We start from the raw sequence: 24697 nt of genomic DNA, 5'->3' as shown, positions 1-24697 counted from the left end.
GCTGTTCCCTATGAGACGACTCTGTCCGGGGAGCCCCTCTCCCCTTCCCAGCTCCTACTCTCCGAGTCCCCCAAGACAGGGCTGTCATCCTTCCCACTCACTACCTTGCTAGCTCCACTCCTGTCAGCAAAGCCGGCCGCCCAGGCCCTTTGCCTTTTGTATTGGGCTAGGGTGCCAGGTGGGGCATGGTGAGGCTGGGTCTCACCTGAGCCCCATTCTTAGGTGGACCTGCTCGGGTCTCCTTGGGGGTGGGGGCGGGGCCAGCACACTCCACTGCCCTCACTCCTTCCTTGCCCTAGGGGTGGCAGCCCTAGGTAGGGCGCTGCTTCCCTCAGACTAGGAGTCCTGGGCAGAGTCTGGTTCCTGCCCCCACCACCTCAGACTGGGGGTCCCTGGGACACTGTCATATCTCCTTCCTTAGACTAGAACTCCCAAGTCCGGGTTAAGTCTCTTCCCTCAGACTGGTGCAGGGGAAGAGAGGGCCTCCCTGCATAGAGCTGTCGTCGCAGAGCAGCACCTCACTCCAGCCAGGCCTGGCTCTCCACCACCCCAGCCAGGCCTGGCTCTCCACCACCCCAGCCTGGCCTCTGCACCATTCTGAGTCCTCTGGGGCCACAGAGGAACCCAGGTGCGAAGCCCTACCTGTTCTGAGCCCTCACTCTGCCTGGTCACCATTGGTAAGATGTGTGTCAGGCATACAGCAGGGGCACAGGTGTGAAGGGAGGGAGGGAGAGGAGAGGACGGCGGGAAGGGAGGACCGAAGGAAAAGGAATAAAGCGCTCACTCCATTAAGGTGCTGACGATGAGATGGATGTGACTGATGGGGCTGACGAGGTGCCCATGGCTGCCCAGGGCCCGGGGGGCCCAGAGTTCAGAAACTCCACCTCCACTGCAATTCTTTCCTCCCTGTAGTAGTGTCAAATGATTCCACGTGGCTCACATCCCCATTCTTCAGGTTGTGGGACTGAGTCCCTGGGTTGCTGGATTTCTAGCCAGGCTTCCAAGCCCTGCTCCTGCCCCTTCTGGTTCTGGGAGCTCCAGCCTCGCCTGGGGATTTTCCTGTTCCAGACTCACCAAGACTCTGCACGTGCGGCTCTCTCTACCCAGACCCCACTTTGCATGTGATTTTGTATTTGTCTTCAAGGTCCAATTCAGGTATCACCTCTTCTGGGACCCAAGGACCCTCCACCCTGGTTGTCACTGCAGCAGCCACAATGTGTTGTGGTTACCTATCCCTTCACAGCCCAGTAGCTCTTCTTGGGCCTATATGAACAATGGAAGGGGACAATGGCAGCTGCCACTCCAAATCCCAGCCTAGTGTTAAGGCCAGGCTGGCACAGGAGGGACAGTGCAGCTGGGCTCAGTGACCACCACCAGGATGCCACACAGGTCCAACAAGCCCCAGTGGACTGGCCCCTGGCCCAGGGGGAGTGGGAAGACAGGCCCAGGAAGCCACCTTAGCTGCCCTGAGAACAAGCCTCTGGGGGAACAGAGCCCAGCAGGGGCAGGGTCTCCAGAGGGTGGGCCCAGCACACTACCCCCCACCCTCCAAGCTAAGGTCAGTGGGATGCATGGTCACCAGCAATGGGGAGGCTGTAACAGTTCTACCCAGACCATGAAAGACATGTCTGGCCCTGGGAGAGAGGCACGTGCTGGGTCTAATGACCAGCATTTCTCACCAGGCAGTAGCCCACAGACCAACAACCACGAGGACCCACGGGGTCTCAGGAGAGAGGGCTTTCCCAGAGCAAGCAAGTATGTGTGTGAGAGGGGTCCACAGAGCCACAGCCATCTGCACGAGGGTGCAGAAGCACCTTCTGGACTGGGAGCAGGGAGAGCAGCCTGCGAGCAAAGGGCTAAGCACACAGTGACGGAACATGAAACCGACCATCCCCAAACACACGGACAGGCCCCACTTCCAAAAACGAGCCAGATGCTTTAATGGGCTGCCTCCAGGGCCCATCGGCTCATCAGAATCCCTTAAATGAGGCCCAGAGCTTGCCAGCCTTTGGTTGAGCTCAGCACTCCACAGGCAGGTGGCTCACAGCAGGCCTGGCTGATGGGCTCTGGCTTGGGGAGCAGCAGGGTCCTCAGTCCAGATCTTCAGAGACCTTCTAGGACTGAGCTGCCACTCAGCCTACCTGCACCAGTCCCTGAGTCCCAGCAGCTGCTTAGCTTCTAGAAAACATAAGTTTCCTGGGATAATGCCAGGGGTGGGGGAGGCAGTTCAGGGAAGCACTGATGTCAATTCAGGACAGGCCTGGGGCCTCCTGGGGTGGCGGCAGCAGCAGGCCCAGAACAAGGACGCCAGCTCCAGGCTGCATCCCTGCACCAGTAGCGGGGATTGGGAGCAGGGAGTGCAGGCTCCCTCAGGGAGCTCCAGGCTGGAGTAGGGCCAACCCAACCCCAAATGCTGGGGGGTGACTCCTGAAAGTGTGAGTCACATCCACTGCCTAAGGTACCACTCTACGATAGCCAAGTCCTAGGACACACGAAGACTTTCTATAGGAAGGTTCTCTGCCTCCAATTCTAGGCCCTGTCCCAGAGAGGAAGCAGAGACCAAATGGTGACAGGGTATGTATCAGGCAGCATCCCCACAACAACCCTGTGAGGTAGGTTGCGTTGTCCCATTTTACACATGGGGAATGAGGGCTCAGCAGAGGTGAAGTTTCTTGCCCAGGTCCTGCAGCAAGAACACGAGCCGGGATTCAAGCCCAGGTCTGTCGGGCTCCAAAGCCCATGTGTGTTCTCTAGGCAAGAAATAGGGAGTAGTCCTATCCAATAAAGACCCTCACGTTAAAAGCTCAGGGGCTCTTCAGCCCACCCTGAATGGGCCACAGGGTCAGAGATGGAACCCCTCCAGGGGAGCAGCCACAGCCCCAGCATCCACTCGTGGCCCCGGGGCAGCTGGGCAGGCAGAAGGGAAGGGTGGAGAGTGACTGCTATACACACAGCACTGGCAACCAGTGCTACAGGTGATGGCTCTGGCTGTCCAGCAGCTGTGGGCAGGGTGAGGGCTGGTCTGGTCTTGAGGACTTGTGGCCCCAGGTGGGCAGAGCCAGGCCATTGAGCCAGGCGGTCTCCAGCAGACTGCGGAAGCGGGCCTTCAGTGTGGGGCCAGGTGGGCTGGCACTGGTAGCAGGGGTAGGGGAGGCACCACAGGACTCTTCCCCAGCAGCTGCCTCTGCTTTCTCCGGGCCAGGGGTTGGTGGCTTCCTGCCTGGCTTCCTGACCTTGGGGGCCGGTGACTTCTGAGCCAGGGCTAGGCTCTCTGGCTCACCTCTGGCCACAGTGGGCTCTGAGGAGGACACAGCTCCAGCCTCAGTGTCAAAGTCACCTGGAAAACGAACACATAGTCAGCCTGCAGACCCCATACCCTCAGGTCCCACCTCCTGGCTTCCAAAGCCATCCAAACAGTGCTTCTGCTCTGCCCCAAGTCAGGCTGGCATCACAACTCTTCCCCACACATGCCCACTGGCCAGACCATCCAAGCAAAAAAGATGTGCTTCTCCCCAGGTGACACCAGAACTCTATCTGATGAGGGCACCACTCAGGAGAGGCTGTTTGGGTACAAGGATGAGAGCAAAGGGGCTCAGCAGGTCAGGAACCATTGGCCTGGTCCAATACCCATTGCTCAGATGGAAAACTGAGGCATGGGAACAGAGGACCCTGCCATATATAAGACAGCCATCATGTTTCTGCCATACCAGCCCCAGAGACCAAGCCCAAGCCCGAGGCCGAGCCCAGGTAGGGACTGTCCTAAGAGCCATGCTGGGGGAGCACAGGAACCCACCCACAACAAAGGAAGGCAGGGATAACTGTCTAGGGGCACACAGAGAAAAACGGCCCCCAAGGTGGGAGGGAGTGAGGACAGGGGCAACAAAATTCAGCCAGAAGCCAGAAGCCTGGTCTCAATCACTTGCTTCCCAGGCCCCCCGATTGTTGCAAGCTCCAGTCAGAGCACCTCGGACTGTGTGGAGTGCCCAGACTCCACTGCTGATCAGGCAGCCCAGGAGAAACAGACCTGACCCTCTCTGGGCCCCAGACAGCCCAACTGTATGGGGAGAGGACTGAGCTGGGCAGCCCAGCCCTGAGTGATGTGGGACCCTCACTCAGTAACAGATCGCCTGAGTCTGGATTTCCTTTGCATCCCATTAAGGCATCTGCTCCAATTTTGTAAGTACTCAGGGATCAGGGATTCTGGTCAGCCAGCCCCTAAGCTCATCTGCACCTCACTGCCACAGGCCCTTCCCCATCCCAACCAGGTAAGGGCCCGGGGCAAGGCTGCCACTACGGGGATGGAACTAGGAACAGTTTCTACAGGGAAGAGGCTGGGCAGTGGAAATGGGAGAGGGTGGAATTGGGGGCAGCAGGGAGAGAAAAACTAGAGGGGGCCTCAGGCTGCAATGCCAGGTGTACTGACGCAGGAGGGGCAATAACAGAATCCACTTGGTCCCATCACCAGATCCCTAGCTGAAGAAGTGTGATCATACACGCCACACAACACTTCGGCAGTTGTGTGGTCCTCCAGGACATTAAAAGAAAACAAGCTGGAGAACAGCAGGCACATCATTTAGTAGAGGAAAAGCAAACCACAAAACAATGCGACTTATGCGCACACTTCTGTGTATGTAAGGGCCGGGGAGGACTGCAAAACTACACGTTCAAAAAGGCAGCTGTGGCCCTCACCAGGTCTAGAGCATGAGGAGCTTTGTGAAAGGGGGTGCCCTTCACTGACATGGAAAAGAACTGGTTGTGGGAAGTGAGCTGAGGGGAAGGCTCGGGAGTGTGATTTGGGATGAGTTCAGTGTGGGAGAGAGACCCAGGGGCTGAGGCCCAGCATGCAGTGGGTTATTTAGGGCTAGAGCTCACAAAGGGGATGCTAGGCTGGAGATCAGGGAAATTATCTCAGCTAGAAAACAGGGCCTAACCAGAGTGCCGGAAACACTGCACCAAAGATGGAGAAGGCACAGGCAGAGGAGGAGGGAATCCAAGAAGGTGCAGCACCAGGGGAGGCCGAGGAGTTTCCATGGGGACAGAGCAGCTGGCATGTTCAGAAGCCTACAAAAGAGGCTATGAAGGTGCTCACTGATTGTCTGGAGGGTCAAGGGGTGGGGGTACCTAGAGCTCATCCTAAAGCCCCCTACCCGGGCAGGAGTCCTTGGAATCACTCAGCCCCAGCTGTGACGCACTCACACAGCACACACACCTGTCACTTGCTCACACAGCTCCGGTGGCCACTGGGGCTGCCCCATGCTCACCCAGCTGGCGGCGTACACAGTCGCGCCACTGCAGGCCGAGAAGGTCGGGGTAAATGTCCGGCAGCTGGCGCAGCGCCAGTAACTTCAGCATGCGTGAGGTGCAGCCTGGCAGGGCGAGCTCCCGCAGTGCCCGCTCCTCCGACAGCGTGGTGGGCCGCAGCTCCACACGATGCTCCTGCAGCACATGGTCCACAGAAGCGGGTGGCAGCCGAGGGAAGAGCCGCTCCTTCACCAGGTGAATGGGCACGAAGATGGCGCCAGCTCGCACCACATGGGGGAAGGGGCACCGGTGGGTGCGATCGAAGCGCTGCAGCTGAGACAGCAGCTTGGCCAGCAGCCCCTGCACACCCTGGCAGTCCTGCCACGCAGCCTGGCCCCAGGGCCCAGCCGTCTCTAGCCACTCGCGAAGCTTCTCTGGAGGAGAGTGGGCGACGGAGCCAGAAATAGCATCACACAGGGACGCATGTAGTCCTGTAAAATGCTGCTCCAGGGAGTCCCCTGGGGCTGAAGTAGATGCTGGAGCAGGGCCTGCAACTGGAGCTGGAGCTGGAGCTGGATCCCGGGCTGAAGCTGGAGCCTGAGCTCGAGCCGGAGCAGGGGATGGAGCTGGAGCAGGGGCAGGGGAGGCCACAGCTACGGCTGGAGGGCTGGGCAGTGCCAGGCTGAAGCAGGTCACAGACAAGGGCTGTTGAGCGAGAATCCGCAGTCCAATGGGCCCAGATGTGGGGGTGGGTGCAGGCTGTGTGGGAGCAGGAGCTGAGGTGGGCGTGGACGGGACCACGGCTGCAGGCAAAGGTGCCGGACGGAGGATCTTGAACTTTCGGAACATGAAGGCCACAGAGCTGTGGAAGTTGGTCCTTGGCATGGCATCTGTGGTCACTGGCACCCCAGGCAAGCCTGGTGCTTCTGTGTCTATCTTTTTCAGGCCTGGCAGATCTGACACCATGTTGCCCACATCTGGCACATCCATGGCTGCAGTAGGCTTGGCATGCTCCACAGAACGGGAAGCCTTGACAGGGGAGGCCTCTGCTGTGGGCTTCCTCACACTCAAATCCAGGGCTACCTCCTCCTTAAGTGAGCCCCTTAGGGGTTTACTCCCTGAGGGGCCCTCCTGGGCAGGCAGGGTCCCCCTGCAGCCTTTGTCCTGACCTTCACTGGTGGCTGGGGCTGAGTCAGGCTCAGCTGTGGCAGAGTCAGGCTCAGTTGTGGCCTCGGGTGCCGGCACATCCAGATAGTCACGGTAGGGGGCCAGGCTGAAGACATTGTCAATGACAGGCATTGGTGGAGAGCTGGGTGGCCTTGCGCCCTCCTTCTGTGGAAGAGACTGGCACTCCCGGGCACAGGGGGGCAGTGCTGGGGGGGTACAGGGAACTGGACTGTCTCGGATGACGATGGGCGGCCCAGAGTGCTCACTGAGCCGGGGCTGGAGCTTCTCTTTCCTGCAGCTGGGCAGCCAGGTCTTCTCTTCGGCTTCCTGTGCAGGCCTCACAGGCTCTGAGCAGGGCTGGCTCGCTGGCAAAGGCTGGCATGCCCTCTGGAAGGCACCAGGCTGTGGCACAGCCCGCACATTGTTCTGGGAAGGTGGTGTCCCTCCAAGCCCAGGGGATGCTCCATAGAGAGAGAGGTCATCCCGGGCATAAGGAAAACTCAGTGTCTGGGGGGCAAAGTCCAATGGGCACCGTGGAGTGAGAGGCGGCTCCAGCTTGAGGCCTGGAGAGGGTGCTGGGAGAGGGGCAGAGGGGTAGGGGTAAGCGTCCAGCCCCAGTGGGGGAATGTAAGGTGCCTGGGCTGCCTGCTGCCTCAGGTAGGGGCTGCCCAGCCCACCAGCCTGGTACCCGGTCCCCTTGTGGCCCCCCAGAGGCTGCAGTGGGAGTGCTGGGCTGTAGCTGCCCTGCTTCTCTGGGTGGCGACAGGCTGGAGGGCAAGGCAGGGCCTGTGGAGGGTGGGGTGGTGGGTGGTGGGGTGGTGGGTAGTGGGTGGGCCCGGTGTCCTGACAGGGTGGCCCCAGGGGCTGGGCCAGCTGGGTCCAAGGACTTGAGGGCCCCTCAGACATTGCTTGCTTGGAGTTCCTAGGGTAAGGACCTGTGTACCTGGAGGCCAGGAAGCCCGTGCTGTGGATGGTCTGATATTTCTCCAGGAAGGGCTGGCATGGGGAGAAGCTCCCTGAGGAGTCTTTACTGGACCCCTCAGCTGGCACCCCCCGCAAGAAGGTGCCATCCAGAGTCTGGCCCTTGCTAGGAGCTGGGGCCAGAGAGCAGGGTGGGTCAGCTGAGGGCAACAGGGGCCCAGTCGCCAGAGTCCAGTCAACATCCAGTGGCCTCTTCACTGCTCCTTCCCCCAGACAAGTTGAGAGCCCATAGCACAGAGGGTTGCGGTAGACAGGTTTGGGTGCTGCCAGTGGTGGGCCTGGGTAGGAGTGAGCCTGGGGACTGAAGGGCAGGAGCTCAACAGGGCTGGAGTCCTGCATCTTCTCAGGGCCTTCTGCTGGCGAGCGGTAGAACAGGCAGTTGGTCAGCAGGTTGTCTGCCTGAAGTGGGGGTCCTGCCATACCGGTAGAGTACAAGGGTGGGTATGGGGTCCAGGACGCCAACTGCTCAGACTCGGCCTTAGGAGTACCTGCCATGGGGCAGGAGAAGTAGGACCCCTTGTAGGTGCAGGGATCCTGGTTACCAACAGAGTGGGGCAGGCTGTGCTCGAGCCCGGAGTCTGTCTCTAAGCGGGGCAGCTTGCCATACATCACAGGCCCCAGGGTTCTCAGGGGTCGCTTCTCTGCCATCGCTGTGAAGGCTTCGAGCCCTCCTAGGCCCCTGCTACTCAACTTCTGACCTGGGATAGAGAGAGAAAGGCAGGGGCTGTCAGGAAAACAGGCTACAGGCAAAGCAACAGAGGGCTGCTGCTCTCATCAGCTCACGGCTACACCTAAGAACCTGGCGCTTAAATGATGCTCAGTTAAGACTGTGAGTGCATGAGCCACGTGACAGAGGTTTCCAACTCGTGTATGTATTTTTTGAGGCAGGGTCTCACTCTGTTGCCCGGGCTGGAGTGCAATGACATGAACTTGGCTCACCGCAGTCTCAACCTCCTGGGCTCAAGTGATTCTCCCAACTCCCAGGTTGCTGGGACCACAGGTGCCTGCTACCACACCCGGCTCATTTTAGTATTTTATGTAGAAACAGGGTCTTACTATGTTACCCAGGCTGGTCTTGAACTCCTGGACTCATGTGATCCTCCCATCTTGGCCTCCCAAAATGCTGAAATCACAGGCATGAACCACCTACTGCTCCTGACCCCAACTCGTATATTTTAAGCTGCAGAACCCTTTGTTTAATGAATTATTCTACACAGAACCCCCACCCATCCCCACTCCAGGAGCCCCTTCTGTTCGATTTTCCTCCATACAACTCCCAAGATCCCCTCCTTCTTGGGATTTCAGAATTTGTAGGGGCACTGGGTCTCAGGGTCACTTGACATACCCTGCCGCCACCCCCTCATATACAGATGAGGAGACCCATTCATCCCAAAGTCACCAATGAAATAGACACAACGAGAAGCAGGCCTCCTGCCTCCCACCACAGGGTCCTATTCCAAGATGCCACAGTGATGCCCACTGCAGCCAAAACATGGAATCTGAGTATTGTCTACAAATTCACAGATTTCTTGTGACACTCCTCTGACCTGCTGATCTTGTCAAAAATGGCAGAGTCGGGCCTCCAGCCCAGGTCCCTAGGCCCAAAGCCAATGCTGAGATACTGGACTTGGCTCTGGAGAGCAGTCCCCTAGGAGAGGTAACTGGGGACATCAGTCTGTACAAGCCACACCCCTCTCGCCCCACTCCTCCCCCTCCGCAGGAGTCAGGGCAGCCCAGCAGATGGTGCTGCAGCACCAGCAGGAAGGTCCCAGAGCATGAGGAGCCTGGATCCACCCCCAGCCCCCAAGCTGCAGATGGCGATTCCTAGGCACATGGCAGGGTGGGGCCAAGACAGCGTCAGGGGCGTGTGTGAAAGTCCAGGGAGGTGGCTAGGTGCTGTGGCTCACACCTGTAATCCCAGCACTTTGGGAAGCCGAGGTGTGCGGATCATTTGAGGTCAGGAGTTCAAGACCAACCTGACCAACATGGTGAAACGCTGTCTCTACTAAAAATACAAAAAAATTAGCCAGGCATGGTTGTGCATGCCTGTAATCCCAGCTACGCTGAAGGCTGAGGCAGGAGAATTGCGTGAACTCAGGAGGCAGAGGTTGCAGTGAGCCAAGATTGTGCTACTGCACTTCCAGCCTGGGCAGCAGAGTGAGACTCCACCTCAAAAAAACACAAAAAACAAAAAACAAAACAAAAAAAAAGAAAAGAAAAGAAAAGAAAAAAGTCCAGGGAGGGAGGCCCCAGGGGCCAGAGTGCTACTTAGCCACTACTCCCATTGTATTGATGGAAAAACTATGTGCTGAAAAAAGACAAAGCTCTAAGACAAGACCAAGGAAGGATGGGGACTGAGGCCCCTCAGGGCAGCAGGCACCCAGTAACCCGTTAGGGGCTCATCTGAAGCCTGTCTTCTGGGGCCACACTGACCTACCTCTACCTCCCCCAGCCAGCACCCTATTCCTGGAAACTCTCAGTAGCTTAGAAAGGACCACCTAGCTCAATCTTGCTATGATTAGGGCAAAGTGTCACAGGTTTCAGTGACTGGCAAGCAAGGACCAGCCCTCTCCTTGCCTCTTCTGGTTGGAGCCAATGACAGCCACAGGCTGAGTTAGACCGGCACATTTTGGGGTTAGAAAACACAAGGCTAGTGTGGGGGCCAATGCCCACTTCCACCAAGGCAGACCCAGAAAGCAAGCTGGTTCATCTCCTGGACAGAACCCCACACCTCAGGCCAGCCTAGAGAAGACACAGAGGGGCCATTAGGACACAGGTGACAGTCCCAACAGCAGTGTCCTATGATAGAAACCTGCTATCGAGGGGTGAAAGCCCCCATCTCACTCCACAGCAATGCTGTGAGAAGGAACTGTAGGGTTTTGAAGTGTGGATCCTCCCCACCTCCACCCTTGGGACACTCTGGGTTAAGTACTGACTTTGGTCTCACCTCCCCCACATGCTTCTTGGGGTCTGCTGGGTCCCCACCCCCACCCCAGGAGTCCCTCTCTCCTGGGTCTCAGCCCATGGAATACCCTTTGCTCTGGAGACTTCTTGAGGCCCCTATCTGGGACCCAGTCAATAGACAGGAAACCACCTGGGACCCTCAGGAGTCTTTGTGGGAGGGGTGGCGGCTTCAGGGAGCCAACAGAGAACTCTTAGGGGTGTGGGAATGACCTGATCTCCTGCCAGTAGGAGGTGGAAAGCCCAGGATACACTCTCTCAAGGGAGACGACTCCTCCACTCAAGACAGTTGCCAAAATGTAGGTGCCTCCTTCCCTGACCCATACTGAGGCAAGCAAGCTCTCGGAAAGGGCAGGTGCCCAGGGAGCAGGCTCAGATCATCCTTGAGAGGCAGCTCTGTTGATCCTCTCTGCCAAGCTCCAACGTCACTCAGCCAGCACCCAGGCCAGGGTCCCGGAGAAGAGCCCACCACCGCAGCACCGCCCCTGCCTTACGCAGTGGGAAAGGAAACAGCTCTCTGTTCCCACTTTCACCTTCTAGGGGCCTCGGGATGGCCGATGGCAAAGACCAGGAAGAAGAGCGCGATTCCTGCCCAATTGTGGCCAGCATCTGGATTCTCCCGGAGGGCTGGATCGGGCCTCGCCGAGTGTTCTCCCATCTCCCACCTTCCCTACCTGAGGCTCTGGGCTCTCCAGACGCTACAACCCAACCTGGGGCAGCCCAAAGTCTCCAGTGGAGGGGAAAGCGAACGGGATCGGTCTCTATCCCCTTTCCCCTACCCGCCCTGAACATAACTCGGGTGCCTAGGGCCCACAGCCGATTTCGCTTAGAGGCTGCCGCCGCACCCGACCTGGCGGGCTTCCGGGTGTCCCCAAGCCCCTCCCGGCGGCGCCGAGACGCACGTGCATCCAGCAGGCTGACACACAGGCCGCCGCCACGCATGCAAACCCGTGCCTGCACGTACGTGCATGGCCCACATCTGCACACACGCCATTCCAGAACTGCGCTCTCCCCTCGCTCGGGCCCCGGGCATACGTGTGCACGCAGGCAGGCCCGCGCACCCAGCCCCACACCGACGCCCGCGGACCGGCGGGAGGTCCCGGAACAGGGGCGGCCCGGCGACAGGGTCCGGGCAGCCTCCGCCTCAGGGCGATCCTGCCAGCCTGGGCTGAGGCCAGAGGGGTGAGTCAAGAGGTGGCGAGAAAACCGCAGGGCCGTCCCATCCCAGCAGGGCGCGTCCAGGGCCCCGCGGTGCCTCAGCGCCCGGCGCCCCCAGGCCCAGCCCTCCAGTGCCCCCTTGTCCCCATACCTCCTCCTCAACGCCATCCCCCAGCAATCCACGTGACAGGGTCCTGCGGGAGGCCGGAGGGCTCGGCCTGAGTTCCTTCTCGCCAGATTAGGCGCCTGTTCTCCGCCGGAGACCCAGAGCGCTACCAGGTCCCGGGAGCCTCGAAGTCCGGGGAAAGTCGGAGCAGCAGCGCCACCCCTGCCCCGCAGCCCGTTCGCGGGGGGCCGGCGGCAGCCAGAAGCCGCAGCCCCTCGGCCCAGGCGCGGCTCCCTCAGTCCCCGGGCCGGCCGGTAGGGGCGCCCTGGGGCAGCGCCACCCGCCCCTTCTCCACGCGCCGCCCGCAAACTCGGCCCAAGTTTCCGCGCCCGCCGAGCGGGCGAGCTCCTACCTGCAGAGCGCCAGGACTCCCGCCGCCGCTACCCCAGGCGGCCTCCGCGTCCGCATCCTCCAGCGTCTCTCAGGCCGCGGGTCCTAGTCCGACCGGGCCCTGCGCGGGAAGTCGCAGTGAGCACCAAGCCCGGAGCAACCCTCCTAGCTGCCGTTCGCGCCGCCGCTGGGCGCCGTCTGCGGTCCCGGGCGGGGCGGGCTGGGGGCGGGGCGGGGGCGGGGCGACTCGCAGGGTTGGGGAAGAGCCCGGCCCCGCCTCTGGGAGCCTGCGCTCCTGTGGGCAGCGGGTGCGGAGGGCCCGCGTGGGGCCAGCTCGCTAGGAGCGGGCTGCGGGCGCTGTGCACCGCCCGTAACCGCCACGCTCCACGAACCAGTGCCCGGCGGGCCCGTCACGCGCCCTCAGTCGCTCCCTTAGATCGTTCATTCACTGCCACTTGCTGCGATGTGACCTTGCGCCTGCCGCTTGACCTCGCTGAGCTTCAGTTTCCTTATTTGCAAAAGTGGAATTCTGTCTTCCTCATAGCGGTGGCGGTGTAAGCTTGGAAAAGGGTGTTTGCAAATATCTGGCACACAGTAGGTGCCGGCATTCCCCTGTCCAGCACTAGTGTATTAGGGGGCTGGAGAAGGGCTCCTTGATCTGTCCCCTCATTTCGTTGTAGTCAATGAGGGCAATTTCCAGACTCCTGCTAGGGCACGGCAACTGTCTGAGGAAGCGGCAATCTCCCCATCCCTGGAAGGGCCGGGAATGAGGGTGCTGGGGGATTTGCAAAGTAGCCTGGGTGAGGCTCCCTCCATGAGGCAGACCGGCGCGCAGCCTGTGAGGCGGGTGGAGTGGAGCACGCCCAGCCAGGAATGGTGTGTTGCAAAGAGAGGCTGGAGGGGGGAAGGGGTGCCTCTCCCTGGACCATCTGACTGTGGATGAGAGCCCCTCAGTGCTGCTACTTTATCTGAAGGAATCTGGTCCGTCAAAGCTCCTGGGCTGCCCGAGGACTGGGAACAGGTGTGTGCAGTGGGGAAGGGGAGGGCAGGTGGACATGCCAAAGGTCAGAGTCAGTTCAGGAAGCAAAACTATCCCCTCAGATCCCAAAGGTAAGTTCTGCCTGAGTCAGAGCAGAGCAGGCCTGAGGCTGCAGGTTCCAAGAATCACCAAGCAGCTGGAGCAGCTGGAGCTGAGGAGGAGGGGCTGGGCGCTGCAGGTAGGAAGAGGAAGTGAGGTCACCTGGGGAGCGGGGGCGGGAGGTGGGGGGAGAGTGTCACTTCATTTAGAGCTGGAAGGACCTTAGAAATAGAGTCGGGAACCATATAGGGAGAGACACTCAGAGAGGGTTGGGGCTTTCCCCAGGTCACTCAGCAGGCTGGGACAAAATCCCAGATCTCCTGGCTCCCAGCCTGGGGCCCTTCCTGCAGCCACACCTTAGCGTCAGGAAAATACATCTGCGCGCGGACAGCTAGGGGTCACACCAAACATCATACCCTTAACCCCAGCCTGCAGCCCCGTGGGTCACAGGCTATTCACTGCTCTTGCCCCTTACCAACTCTGCTCGCCCCTCCTCCTCCAGCACCGCGCCGGCGACCCTGTCCCTGCCCTGCTAGTGGGGTGGAAGGAGGGCTGTGTTCTTAGCCCTTGGGGTCTAGGACGCTCAGGTTGTGTGCTCAGATGTGCCCAGTGGTCTCTCCAATTTCCCTGAGTTGGAATGGGACCCAACCAGGCCAGGATGAGCAGCCATCTGAGACAATAGGGGCTAGTTAAGATTTGCAGCACTGCTGAGCCTTGTGTTAATTCAGGGACACCTCACACAGACAGCAGCCCCACTCAACAGTATGTCTGTTCCTTTTCGGCATCACTTAAACACCCTGGACTGCCAAAGAAAGGAGGCAACACTGGGGGACTTGGGAGCTACTTTGTAACTTTCTGAGCCTCAAATTTCCTCATTGCAAAAAGAGAGCAGTGAGAGACCTGCCTTAGCAACTGTGGTGTCGGCCAACATCAGTGTGGGAAATTGCTTGTAAACTCTAGGAAGCTCATAGAGTGTCCCCAGACTATGAGCTCCTGAAGGCTCTGACCTTGCCATTTTCCTCCCTATACCAATGGTCGTCTGTGGAGCCTATAGAGAATGAAGGCAATCAATACAAGATAACTGCCTTGGGAGCTCCACATGTTTTTATCAGGACTGTGGTCTTGCAGAGATGTGATATTCTAATCAGAAGGAATAGTGTGAATAAAAGCAGAGAAGGGAACAGTCTGTCCTTATATGGCCTTCCCGAGTAGAGTTAACACAGAAAAAGAAAGTAGTGTAAAAAGGAGGTTTCTCCTCACCCCACCCCACCCCTACCACTACCAGGTCTGCCCAGGTTTCACATGCAACACACACACTCCTCTTCCACCCCACCCCAGACACCAGTTACTTCTCCTGGCTCCCTGGGAATGCAAGGTAAAAGGTCAGATCCTGAGCCTTGGCTCATTATTTTATGGTTATTAATAACAATGGTGCTCCCTCTAATGAGGCCACACCTGCTATTTACAAATCTCCTTCCTTGGAGGAGCTCCCTTACCCCAGAGGCGTGTGAGGTGGAGCTGGCAGCTACTCTACAGGCAGAGAAACAGAGAAGTATGGCACCTTTCCCTAAGACACACAGCAATGCCCCCTTCCATCCTTGCAGACCCAGCTATAGACACTGCCTCCTCCTGAGAGGCCCCTCAGACTGCTTTTGCTGCCCTGTCTGCCCTCTATTTCCTCATTGCTCCCTCTCCCCTCCCAGAAGAGGGATATCTCAGTGTCAGTGGTTGGGCATGGAGCTCCTACATCTATCTATGAGATAATTGATATCTCATTTAATTCTTACAACCATGTGAAGCAGGAGTTTGAAAAACAAGCACACTGGGGTTTGATCCACTGACCTGTGTGGTTTAGGCAAGCCCCTTAGCTGTCAGCTCACTCATCGTTACAGGGACATGACTTGCTACAGGGCTCCAGTGACTTCACAGCTTGATTTGTAGTAAGGTTTCAACCAGTGGTGATGTTGCAGGAGAATAAGGTCTGGAGGCAGGGAACCTAAGGCCAACTGGTGCTGGATATTAGAGACTACTCTTCAACCCCTTCTCTTTCAAGGTGGCAGTTGCTGCATGGTAGTTGCAATCCCTCCTTTTGCTGTATGGCAGTTGCTGAGTGGCAGCTGGAAAGTGAAAGTGCCTCTGATTGGTCCCCTCCCACAACCCATCAGACTGGTCGTGGGCCTACTCTTCAACCAATCAGACTGGTTGCGGGCTACTAGGGTGAACCAATGGGAAACCTCTAGAGGGTATATAAACCCCAGAAAATTCTGTAACCAGTGCTCCTGAGCCTCTTGCTGGAGGTTTTGCTGCCTTGCTTGTGCCTTTTGTCCAATTCTTTGTTCAAAACACCAAGAACCTGGGCAACTACCCTCAACCAGTAACAGTAGCTCTAGAGGAGGAGGGGGAGGCCACTTGTCCACATAGCCAAGAAATGGAGAGCTAGGATTGTCCCTGGAGGACTGTGTGACTCCAGTGCCTTCTGAGGGAGGGCTCAGACACAATTGTTGTTCAGGAACCCGCTGCCACTAAAGCAAGCAGAGCCTGAAGCTGGGCTGCGTCGGTGGCCATCAGCATGGACTCAGAGCGTCGTAGGGATCTGGGTTGGATAGGACCTGGGCAGGAGGACAGGGCCATGGGGTCTGATTGGGGTGAGGTGAGCCACTTTCCAAAGGTGTACTGGGAAATCAGGGCATCCTTCTGCAGGGGAGGCTGGGGGTGGGGGCAGCCTGCTGCTTTGCCACAGTGAGCAGGGAGTGGGAGCCTCTCAAACTCCGAAGGAGCCCCCCCCCCACTACCTCCAGAGAAAATCAGACTTGCTCAGAGGGGAGGCCCTAAGACTGAGAAGTGGGGCAGGCTTTCACTGGGCCCCTCTGGAAGACTGCATCTGCTGGCCTGTTGGCTAGGAAAACAACAACAACAACAACAACAAACCATGCACAATAATTTAGGGACCCTGGCCAGGTGCAGTGGCTCACGCCTTTAATCCCAGCACTTGGGGAGGCTGAGGCAGACAGATCACTTAAGGTCAGGAGTTTGAGATCAGCCTGGCCAACATGGGGAAACCCCATGTCTACTAAAAAACAAAAATTAGCCGGCATGGTGCACAAGCCTGTAATCCCAGCTACTCAGGAGGCAGAGGAACTTGAACCCGGGAGGCAGAGGTTGCAGTGAGCTGAGATCGTGCCTCTGCACTCTAGCCTGGGCAACAGAGTAAGACTGTATCTCAAAAAAAAAAAAAAAAAAAAAAAAAGATTTAGGGACTCCTGCAGAGGAGGGGAACATTCTTTAATTAACAGCTAGGGTGGGCTGATTTTCCTTCTCTCCTTCCCATCCTTCCTTCTGTCACATATTGAGGATCTCCAGGTTTTATGCTGGCATTGAGGGTACAGCAGTAGATGGGTCCCAGTGCTGTCTCCCAGGCTTCAAACAGACCATTGCCTCCAGTGAGATGGGTGCTTGTGTGGAGGTGGGTCTGCCACAGTGGGAGAGAGGCCTCAGGAACAGGACTGCTGGGCCTTGGACTCAGGGAGGGGGGGACTGTGATGTCTCACTCTGGCTGTGCCAAAGCCCAGCCATTGGAGGCTTGGTGCTGGAGGCAGCAGGAAATATTCCCTGCCTGCCTCCACAGAGAGCTTTCTAATGCCTGTGTGTAACCGGTCACTCCTAGCTTGGAGTCTCCTGTGGTTCCTCGGTGGCCTCAGGTTCCAGTTCCCCAGTCTGGCTTTGGCATGTCTCCTGATTGTCCCGATTGTCTCCCCAGCCAGCCAAGGTTCCTTTCAGGTCACACCTCCACACTTTGGAATATGCTCTCCATCTGCCTTGGCTGCTTGTCTGGCTTTCCTTGCTAATTCCTGTTGGCCTTTCAGACTCAGCTCAGAGGCTGGGCACGGTAGCTCATGCCTGAAATCCTCCCACACTTTGGAAGGCAGAGGCTGGAGGATCACTTGAGCCCAGGAGTTCAAGACTGGCCTGGGCAACAGAGCAGGACAAATAAAAAAAATTTCCAGGCATGGTGGCACACACCTGTGGTCCCAGCTACTCGGGAGGCTGAGGTGGGAGGATGACTTGAGCCCAGGAGGTTCAGGCTGCACTAAGCTGTGATCAGGTCACTGCACTTCAGGCTGGGCAACAAACCAAGACCTGACACAGCCCCCGTCAAAAAAAAAAATCGGCTTGGGATCCCTCCTCCAGGAAGCCTTCCCTGAGCTCCAGGCTGGGTTTGGTCATCTCTTCTGAGGTCCCAGAGCATTTTGAACTCACCTCCATTTTAGCCTCAGCTTCCTGTGCTGAAATTGCCTGGCTATAAGCCTGGCTTCTCTCTTATACTGGGGAGGGACCTCTTCCAGGGTGGGGCCTGGGTCTGCCCTTGGGCTGTGACTCTAGTGCCCACCACAGGGCTGAGTCAGGCTGTAGTTATGGAGTGAAGGTTTAATGGTGAAGGAGGGCTATGCACATCTGAAAGGGAAGAAAGGCAGAAAAACCTACCCAGGCCCAGAGATGAGAGCCTGAAGGAACCTCTGCTGCCCAGAGCTCCCCTAAAGCCCCTGGACTCCCCGTCTCAGCCTCTTAGGACCCAGGACACCAGCAGTAGCCTGTTTCTAGCCCCTATTTCAACATGGGGCAAATGAGACGCAGAGAGGGCCAGCTACCTGCCTGGGGTCTCAGGCAGGCAGCTCCAGAACCCAGGTCTCCTGAAGGCCTGTCCAGTCCATACACCAGGCCTCCTCCTGGTTCTGCCACTGCCTCTCTATCCCCTCCTCCCCTGTCAGACCTAGGATGGAAAAACACCTGGCCGAGCTCCACCTGCCTGCCTCATGCTGCCTGCAGCCCCCTCCTTGGAGGCCATCAGCCTGGGGTAGGGGTGTGAGGAGAAGAGGAGGGGGACCCCTGCAAAGAGGGGAGGGGCTGATGCATTTCCCCCCGTGCTGCAGGAGCTGCTCCCCTACCCAGAGCCTGGACTCCTGCCAGCCGCCCTCATCACCTCCTCTCCCCATCCAGGGCCTCTCCCTGGAGATCCCTTCCCCCGGCCTCGGCGCCCTGGGCAGAGCCATCACAGCTGTTTCCAGGGTGGTGGTTGGGGCCTGGGCGGGCCCTACCCGCAGCCCTGACTCCAGCCCAGTGCCCGCCCCGCGCTTTGGTCAAGACTTGGCCTTCATCGGGAGTCACCTTCCCCCAGATCCCCAGTTCAAAGGTTTTGGGGGGCCGCCAACCCAGCTCCTCCTCGCCCCACCATGTCCCCTCCCCCAGTGCTGGGGCACCCTCCCCTCCTACCGTGGGCAGGCCAGGTGGACTATCGTGGAAGCCTTTCTAAGGCTGGCTGAGGCGGCTGGGTCTGGCCAGGTGGTTGGCTGCTGCCCCCTCATTAGCGGCCCGCTGGGGTTGCCGTCACTTAGGGCTGGTTACCAGGCAACCGCGTCCAAGGAGGGCTTGGCTCTGGCTCAGGGCTGGCACAGCGGCGCTGCTGCTGAGGCGGGAGGTGAGCAGCCAAGCAGGGTGGGAGACTGGGGTCACGGTCAGGAGGCCTCCTGCTCCCCAGAGTAGGGGTGCAGTGCTTCAGAAACTCCCTGTTATCATCTCACCTTAGACTCACAGCCTGGCCCCAGAAAAGGGGTTTTGGGTCCTCAACACAAACAGCCATACTCAGAGCCCTCAGGTTTCCTGGAGGTTGAGGGGAAGCTGAGTGGGAGCAGAGAAAGGCACCCTTCTCCCTTTTGCATCTGGGGGTGTGGCCCTGTGGCCTTCTTGCCCTGAGTAGGTGTGGGAGGGGCACAAGGAGTCGGATTTTCTGGTGTGCAGGGCTTAGGTTTTGGATCTAAATCCTGCCCTAAACAAAAACAAATAAACAGAAAGAAAACAAAAAATAATAATGATAATAAACAATAAATCCTGCCCTGCCTCTCATGGTTGTGCTTTCTTGGACATGGTTTTTTTTGTTTTGTTTTTTTGTTTTTTTGAGATGGAGTCTGGCTCTGTGGCTCAGGCTGGAGTGCAATGGTGCGATCTCAGCTCACTGCAACCTCCACCTCCTGGGCTCAAGTGATCCTCCCACCTCAGCCTCCCAAGTAGCTGGAACTACAGGTGTGCATCACCACGCCCACCTAATTTTTCTATTTTTTTTGTAGAGATGCGGTTTTGCCATGTTGACCAGGCCAGTCTCAAATTCCTGGCCTCAAGCAAACCTCCTGACTTGGCCCCTCAAAGTGCTAGGATTACAGGCATGAGCCACCTTGCCAGCTGTGGACATGTTGATTGCTTCTGTGAACCTTGACCACCTCCTCTGAAAAATGGGATGGTAACCCATCTCCTAAGATGGCTTGTAGGGCATGAATGCTTAGTGCAGTGCCTGGCACATACCCATCCATTCCCTCCCTCCACACCCCAAGCTTCCCACATTGCAGGGGGCAGGATTACAGATGCTGACCGCCCACACATGGGCCACCCACCATTGCCAAGTGACCCAGGAATGTGCCATCTTTATGTCCAAGAATAGTTCTGGGCCCTGGGTGGTACCTTGTTCCCCTCATCCTTGCTGACTTGTTTTTTTAATTTAACAAACACTCCTAGTCTTTACTATGTACCGGGCGCTGTTTAAATGCTTCACAAATATTAGCTCATTTAATGTATTTAATCTATTTAATGGATGAAGTCGCTTAGTCCATTTATTTTGTAATCCATTTACTGGACTAAATGAGGTGATGCTGAGGTGGATACAGAGAGCTGTGTGGGAGGGAAGCCTGGCCACATCTCTCTGCTCTGCCAGGGCAGCTTCTGCTGCGCAGCTGGGTTGAACGCCAGTCCTGCCTTCTGCCTCCTGCCACAAGGCCAGCCTGGGATGGTAGAGCTATGGGCAGGTCAGAGTTTCAGGGAGAGCAGTGATGGCTAATTAAAACTTCAGCTCAGGGAGGCCCCCTTGGGGCATGGATTGCCTCAGTCAGCTTCCCTGGGGGAGTCCCCTAATTGGACCCCTGGGCCCTAGGAGTGATGCAAACTCACCAGGCAGATGATGGCAGGCAGGGAGGGAGGGGAAAGGGGGAAGGAAGCAGGCTGGCCAAAAAATAACAACAACCCCCTTCCCATTGTGAGAGATGGTGACTTTGGAGTCCCCAAACTGTCACTTAGGAACTGTGTGACTTTGAATCAGTTGCTTGGCCTCTCTGAGCCTCAGTTTCCTCATTGAGAAGTGGGGATAGGAAAACTTCCAGCCCTGGAGGGTTGCTATGAGACCTGTGCAGAAAGTACACAGCACCATGCCTGGCTCAGAAATAGGCACTCATACAATTGGAGCAATTGTCACAGTTACTGCCACGGTCCTCTCTTATCCATCATTTCATTCAGTTCTCAGAGCATTCTGGGAGAGAGGAGGACAAGCCTTCAGAGCAGGCAGGGGGTTAGCCTCCCAGCTTTCATAACCAACAGTCTGGGTCCTGGGCCGTGTGTGGAGTGTGGAGGGGCGGGGGCAGGGGATGCTGCAGAAGATCAGGCAGGAGGTCACTGCTCAGCTGCTATGCAGATGAACCCGGAGCCTGCCTGTGGAGTGGAGAGGACTTGACTAGGCAGAAAGCAGCCCAGGGGGCAGAGCTGGAGGCAGCCAAAGGTCTGAAGACCAGAGAAAGTGCAGAGTGTGCCAGGAGCCCTGGGGAGCCAATGGGGCTAGAGATGGGTGAGTGACAGCCACATGCTACCCTGCTGAGAGTTGGGGTCTGGCCCAATGTGGCCAAAGTCTTCCCTGGGTCCAGGGTGCTGAGAATGACTTGTGCCAGAAGGGTGGGCTGTGAAGAAGGGAGTCTCGGAGAGGGGAGAGGGTGCTAGGCTTTTCCTTTCTGGATGCAGCAAGGTAGACTCCTTAGCTCCCCTGCCCCTTAGGGAGCAGACAGTGTCATCTCCAATTTGTGAGGCCTCTAGAGTCACTGGCCCCTTACCAGCTATTCACAGAGGGGCAGGAGCAGGCCAAGGTCCAAAAGAGCCAGGTGTGGGGTGAGTCCCAGAACCCTCCAAGGTGACCCGGCTCAGTGGTGTCACTCTGTTCTCACAGCCCATCTCCAAGACCACCCAGTGCCACGTCTGCTGGCTGCAGCAGGCCTGGAATCCTCAGGACAGGCCGTGGGCCTCCCTCCGGCTCGAGTCACTCCCCAGAGCAGAACATTCTGCCCCCAAATTCTTGATGAACCCCTCCCAACAAGCAGTGGCTTCAGAACACCAATCTTTTCCCAGAGAGAAACCCAGGACCAGGAGAGATATGGAGGAGACCAGAACGCATTTCAAAGAGCTGATCTTGCTAATAAATCAACAATTCCTGAACAAACACAGCCCACCCTGCACCAGCTCTGGGCTCCCTCAACCTCCCTCCAGACCCTATTCCACAGCCCCCTCTGCTCCAGCAGTCCCCACCTCCTGTCAACCAGGTCATCTATGGCTCAGGTTCCAATTAGTTCAGTAATTAGCACCTCATTGGGCCTGTCTGCCTGCGAACAGCTCCCCTGGGGAGGGTTTCAGGAGGTCTCCATGACCTCAGGGCCCAGAGCTCAGGCAAGTCCAGGCTGGCAAGGCCCCAGGTGGCCTCCCTGCACCCCAGCATAGGGCAGGGGAACAAAAGAATCCCCCAGGGAATTGGGTAAGGGGCAGGGAGAAGAGGGTCCACACCCAGAACGAGCCTTCTCCAGCACTTCCGGGGCCCGTGTGTCAGCTCCACACACACCTTCCTCAGCCATCTCTGTCTAGTCAGTGTGCCCTGGCTGGCTGGGGAAGCCAGGAGGATGCCAAATCCAGCTGAGGTCAGGTCAGTAAGGGAAAGTCTCCATGGGTGGCTTTGGCACAGCCAGGGATTTAGAAAGAAGCTTGGCTTATCCCTTCAGGCCTCCATCCGGGGCCTCCTGGCTCTCTCGGGCGTCACCCCCTGATGACCCCTCAGTCCCTGGCATCCATCTTTCACCTGACAGTCCCTCAGCTCTTGAAGAGAGTAGAATGCCCCCCAGCCCAGCCCATGGTCAGGCTGCAAGTGGCCGAACTATGGGCTCTGGCTAGAAAGGCTGCCAGAGCTGAGAGCGGGGAGTAGGGGACAGCCTGTGTGGTGGGGTCAGAGCGAGCCTCCAGCCAAGAAAGGAAAGGAGAGGTGAGGTGCTGCCAGTGGACGTGTGGGCACCGTGTCACAGTGGAGTGGCTCAGGAGTAAGGGGAGGTCAAGGCTTCCTCTTGCTGAGCTCAGATTCCCCATCTTTAACATTGGAACAAGAATGGTCATAGCCCCCAGCTTCCGGAGATGATGGCAAGAGGTGGGTAGTGTGGTGAGCAACGGAGCAACGTGGTGGGAAGCCAGCAGCAGTGGCACAGGGCAGAAGGTGAGCATTCCAGGGAAGCCCCCTGTTGTCTCCCTCCCTGACATAGAGCAGCACTGGCCAGGGAGAGGGGTCTTGATGGGGGGTGGGAGTCCACACTGTATAACTCGGGCTTGGTGAAGGGAACACAGGTCAGGCCCAGGGAACCAGTGTGAACAGTGCAGGTGAGAGGTGCAGGTTACCCAGACAGGCCAGAAGTCAGCCTTGACCTCAGCCCCCAGACTGAGAGGTGTCCTTGGGCTGACCCTGAGCCGAGGCCAGTCATGAGATTAGAACCCCAGCAGCAGGAGCCAGGCAAATGCCCTGCAGCTGTGGAGGAGGCTTGGCTGCAGCAGCATTTGACCCCAGAATGGGCCTCCAGCTCCTTCCAGAAAAGTCCCACTGCTGGGAAACTGCTGCATCACTCTCCTGGTGCTGACACCCCCTGTTAGTGTCTCCTTGCTTGGATTAGTATTGCCTTCTTAGGGATACTCTGGTGACAAAACCAGCACCAGCCACCTTATCCAGGCCCAGATCCCAACTTGCACTCTTGGCTGTGGGACTTGAAGCAAGCTTCTTAACCTCTCTGAGCTCCAGGGTCTTTGACTGTGGGATGATGAATTGTGCCCCCAGGTTTGTGGTAGGGTCAGGTGCCCAGTGTTCTAATGCCACTGGATCAGTCCCGGCAGGCAGTGAGCCTCAGTGAACCCGTGTTCCTCCTTCCTCAGGCCAATTCCTAGGAAGCAGGCAGGACTCTGAGAAGATGTGGTGCTGAGACCAGCTTGGTCGTGGAGACCCTAACCCAGCAGCGCTAGAGGAATTAAAGACTCACACACAAAAATATAGAGTGCAGAGTGGGAAATCAGGGGACTCACAGCCTTCAGAGCTGAGAGCCATGAACAGAGATTTACCCACATATTTATTGACAGCAAGCGAGTGATAAGCATTGTTTCTATAGATTATAGATTAACTAAAAGTATCCTATATGGGAAACAAAGGGATGGGCCGTAATAAAGGGATGGGTCTAGCTAGTTATCTGCAGCAGGAGCATGTCCTTAAGGCACAGATCGCTCATGCTATTGTTTGTGGTTCAGTAATGCCTTAAGCGGTTTTCCGCTCTGGGTGGGCCAGGTATTCCTTGCCCTCATTCCGGTAAAACAATAACCTTCAACATGGGCATCGTGGCCGTCACGAGCATGTCACAGTGCTGCAGATATTTTGTTTATGGCCAGTTTTGGGGCCTGTTTATGGCCAGATTTGGGGGCCTGTTCCCAACAACGTGGGGCTGAAGTCTGCTTTCCCTTCTCTAGGAAGAAGTTCTGTGAAGGCCAGAGAGCCAAAACCACCTCCTCAGTCTGCCATTTTTCCACAGGCTTGTGAAAGGAACTGGATCATCTGTTTAGGGCTTCTAAAAGTTATTAGGGGCCAGGTGCAGTGGCTCACACCTGTAATCCTAGCACTTTGGGAGACCAAACCTAGAGGATTGCTCAGGCCCAGGAGTTTGAGACCAGCCTGGGTAACATAATGAGACCTTCTCTATACCAAAAAAAGAAAGAAAGAAAAAAAAGCCAGGCGTGATGATGCACACCTGTAGTTCCAGCTACTCAGGAGGCTGAGGTGGGAGGATTGCTTAAGCCCAGCCCAGGAGGTCGGGGTTTCAGTGAGCCGTGATTGCGCCACTGCACCCCAGCCTGGGAGACAGAGCAAGACCCTGTCTCAAAAACAAAAACAAAACAACAAGAACAAAAATAACAGTTACTAGGCTCTGAGGAAGGTTGCCTTTGGAGACTGAGTCACAGAACTTGACCTCTTAATTACTGAACTTTTGTTATAAATTAATTTCCTTCCTTGTTCCTGGCTTAGACCAGATGGCCCTAAGATAGAAGACCCCTTGACTGAGATGAAAGACCCCTTAACTATTACATCCTTATGTGGAATGTCAAATATACTTTTCCCGAAAAAGAAACACTGCCTTTAACCAATCAATTGCTGTAACTATGTATGAAAAATGATGTAATCCTGTTTACATCCTTGCCTATATAAATGATCCTCAAATCTCTCCACTTCAGAGCACCTTGGACCCCATTTTTTTGGAGACTGTGCCTTCCTCAAACTTTGCACTCCAATAAACTCAGTATTTAATCATATTGCCTGAATCTCATCATTCAGGTTGACAGGCTCAATGCAGAGTGGGCAGGGGATAAACAGTCATTCCAGTAAAGCCCTCTGCTTTCAGGCCTCCCACCCCCATCCCAAGCTCTGCCCAGCCCAGACTAGACCATCTTCATCCCAATCCCAGCCCATTCTA

General features: G+C 57.1%; 1 protein-coding gene and 1 long non-coding RNA gene across 4 annotated transcripts, besides 10 other annotated features; both read right to left on the bottom strand.

Moving 5' to 3' along the window:
• Window positions 1–1916: 1916 nt before the first annotated feature.
• Window positions 1917–15197, bottom strand: C15orf39 (chromosome 15 open reading frame 39). Of its 3 annotated transcripts, XM_047432865.1 has the most exons (5): window positions 14925–15197; window positions 12027–12125; window positions 7352–8087; window positions 5262–6983; window positions 1917–3337 (listed from the first exon to the last, which is right to left on the bottom strand). In XM_047432865.1, exons 3-5 carry the CDS (start codon window positions 7569–7571, stop codon window positions 2970–2972), a joined length of 2310 nt encoding a protein of 769 aa, XP_047288821.1. In that variant the 5' UTR covers window positions 7572–8087; window positions 12027–12125; window positions 14925–15197; the 3' UTR covers window positions 1917–2969. The 3 variants fall into 3 exon arrangements, with proteins under 3 accessions (XP_047288821.1, XP_047288820.1, NP_056307.3); XM_047432864.1 differs by having other exon boundaries at window positions 5262–8087; NM_015492.5 differs by lacking the exon at window positions 14925–15197 and having other exon boundaries at window positions 5262–8087; window positions 12027–12204.
• Window positions 6762–6811: an enhancer, noted in NCBI's record as "active region_9842". NCBI's record gives its function as "activates an Ori minimal core promoter by ATAC-STARR-seq in GM12878 lymphoblastoid cells {active_cell/tissue: GM12878}" and the evidence as "EXISTENCE:reporter gene assay evidence [ECO:0000049][PMID:35858748]".
• Window positions 11068–11117: a silencer, noted in NCBI's record as "silent region_6665". NCBI's record gives its function as "represses an Ori minimal core promoter by ATAC-STARR-seq in GM12878 lymphoblastoid cells {active_cell/tissue: GM12878}" and the evidence as "EXISTENCE:reporter gene assay evidence [ECO:0000049][PMID:35858748]".
• Window positions 11238–12397: a silencer, noted in NCBI's record as "silent region_6664". NCBI's record gives its function as "represses an Ori minimal core promoter by ATAC-STARR-seq in GM12878 lymphoblastoid cells {active_cell/tissue: GM12878}" and the evidence as "EXISTENCE:reporter gene assay evidence [ECO:0000049][PMID:35858748]".
• Window positions 11238–12601: a biological region, named in NCBI's record as "H3K27ac-H3K4me1 hESC enhancer GRCh37_chr15:75493826-75494548".
• Window positions 11879–12601: an enhancer, noted in NCBI's record as "H3K27ac-H3K4me1 hESC enhancer chr15:75493826-75494548 (GRCh37/hg19 assembly coordinates)". NCBI's record gives its function as "activates a minimal SCP1, AML or CMV promoter by ChIP-STARR-seq in naive H9 embryonic stem cells {active_cell/tissue: H9 hESC(naive)}" and the evidence as "EXISTENCE:reporter gene assay evidence [ECO:0000049][PMID:30033119]".
• Window positions 13868–14047: an enhancer, noted in NCBI's record as "active region_9841". NCBI's record gives its function as "activates an Ori minimal core promoter by ATAC-STARR-seq in GM12878 lymphoblastoid cells {active_cell/tissue: GM12878}" and the evidence as "EXISTENCE:reporter gene assay evidence [ECO:0000049][PMID:35858748]".
• Window positions 14458–14527: an enhancer, noted in NCBI's record as "active region_9840". NCBI's record gives its function as "activates an Ori minimal core promoter by ATAC-STARR-seq in GM12878 lymphoblastoid cells {active_cell/tissue: GM12878}" and the evidence as "EXISTENCE:reporter gene assay evidence [ECO:0000049][PMID:35858748]".
• Window positions 15198–16345: 1148 nt separating the features above from the next.
• LOC107984772 (uncharacterized) lies at window positions 16346–18413 on the bottom strand. Its single transcript, XR_001751617.2, has 2 exons — window positions 18351–18413; window positions 16346–17048 (listed from the first exon to the last, which is right to left on the bottom strand). It is a non-coding gene; the product is annotated as an uncharacterized LOC107984772 (long non-coding RNA).
• Window positions 17918–17977: an enhancer, noted in NCBI's record as "active region_9839". NCBI's record gives its function as "activates an Ori minimal core promoter by ATAC-STARR-seq in GM12878 lymphoblastoid cells {active_cell/tissue: GM12878}" and the evidence as "EXISTENCE:reporter gene assay evidence [ECO:0000049][PMID:35858748]".
• Window positions 18246–18790: an enhancer, noted in NCBI's record as "H3K4me1 hESC enhancer chr15:75487637-75488181 (GRCh37/hg19 assembly coordinates)". NCBI's record gives its function as "activates a minimal SCP1, AML or CMV promoter by ChIP-STARR-seq in primed H9 embryonic stem cells {active_cell/tissue: H9 hESC(primed)}" and the evidence as "EXISTENCE:reporter gene assay evidence [ECO:0000049][PMID:30033119]".
• Window positions 21513–22215: an enhancer, noted in NCBI's record as "H3K4me1 hESC enhancer chr15:75484212-75484914 (GRCh37/hg19 assembly coordinates)". NCBI's record gives its function as "activates a minimal SCP1, AML or CMV promoter by ChIP-STARR-seq in primed H9 embryonic stem cells {active_cell/tissue: H9 hESC(primed)}" and the evidence as "EXISTENCE:reporter gene assay evidence [ECO:0000049][PMID:30033119]".

This window comes from Homo sapiens, chromosome 15 (assembly GCF_000001405.40).
Source record: "Homo sapiens chromosome 15, GRCh38.p14 Primary Assembly".
NCBI lineage: Eukaryota > Metazoa > Chordata > Mammalia > Primates > Hominidae > Homo > Homo sapiens.
This window is presented reverse-complemented; position numbering and strand designations above follow the sequence as displayed.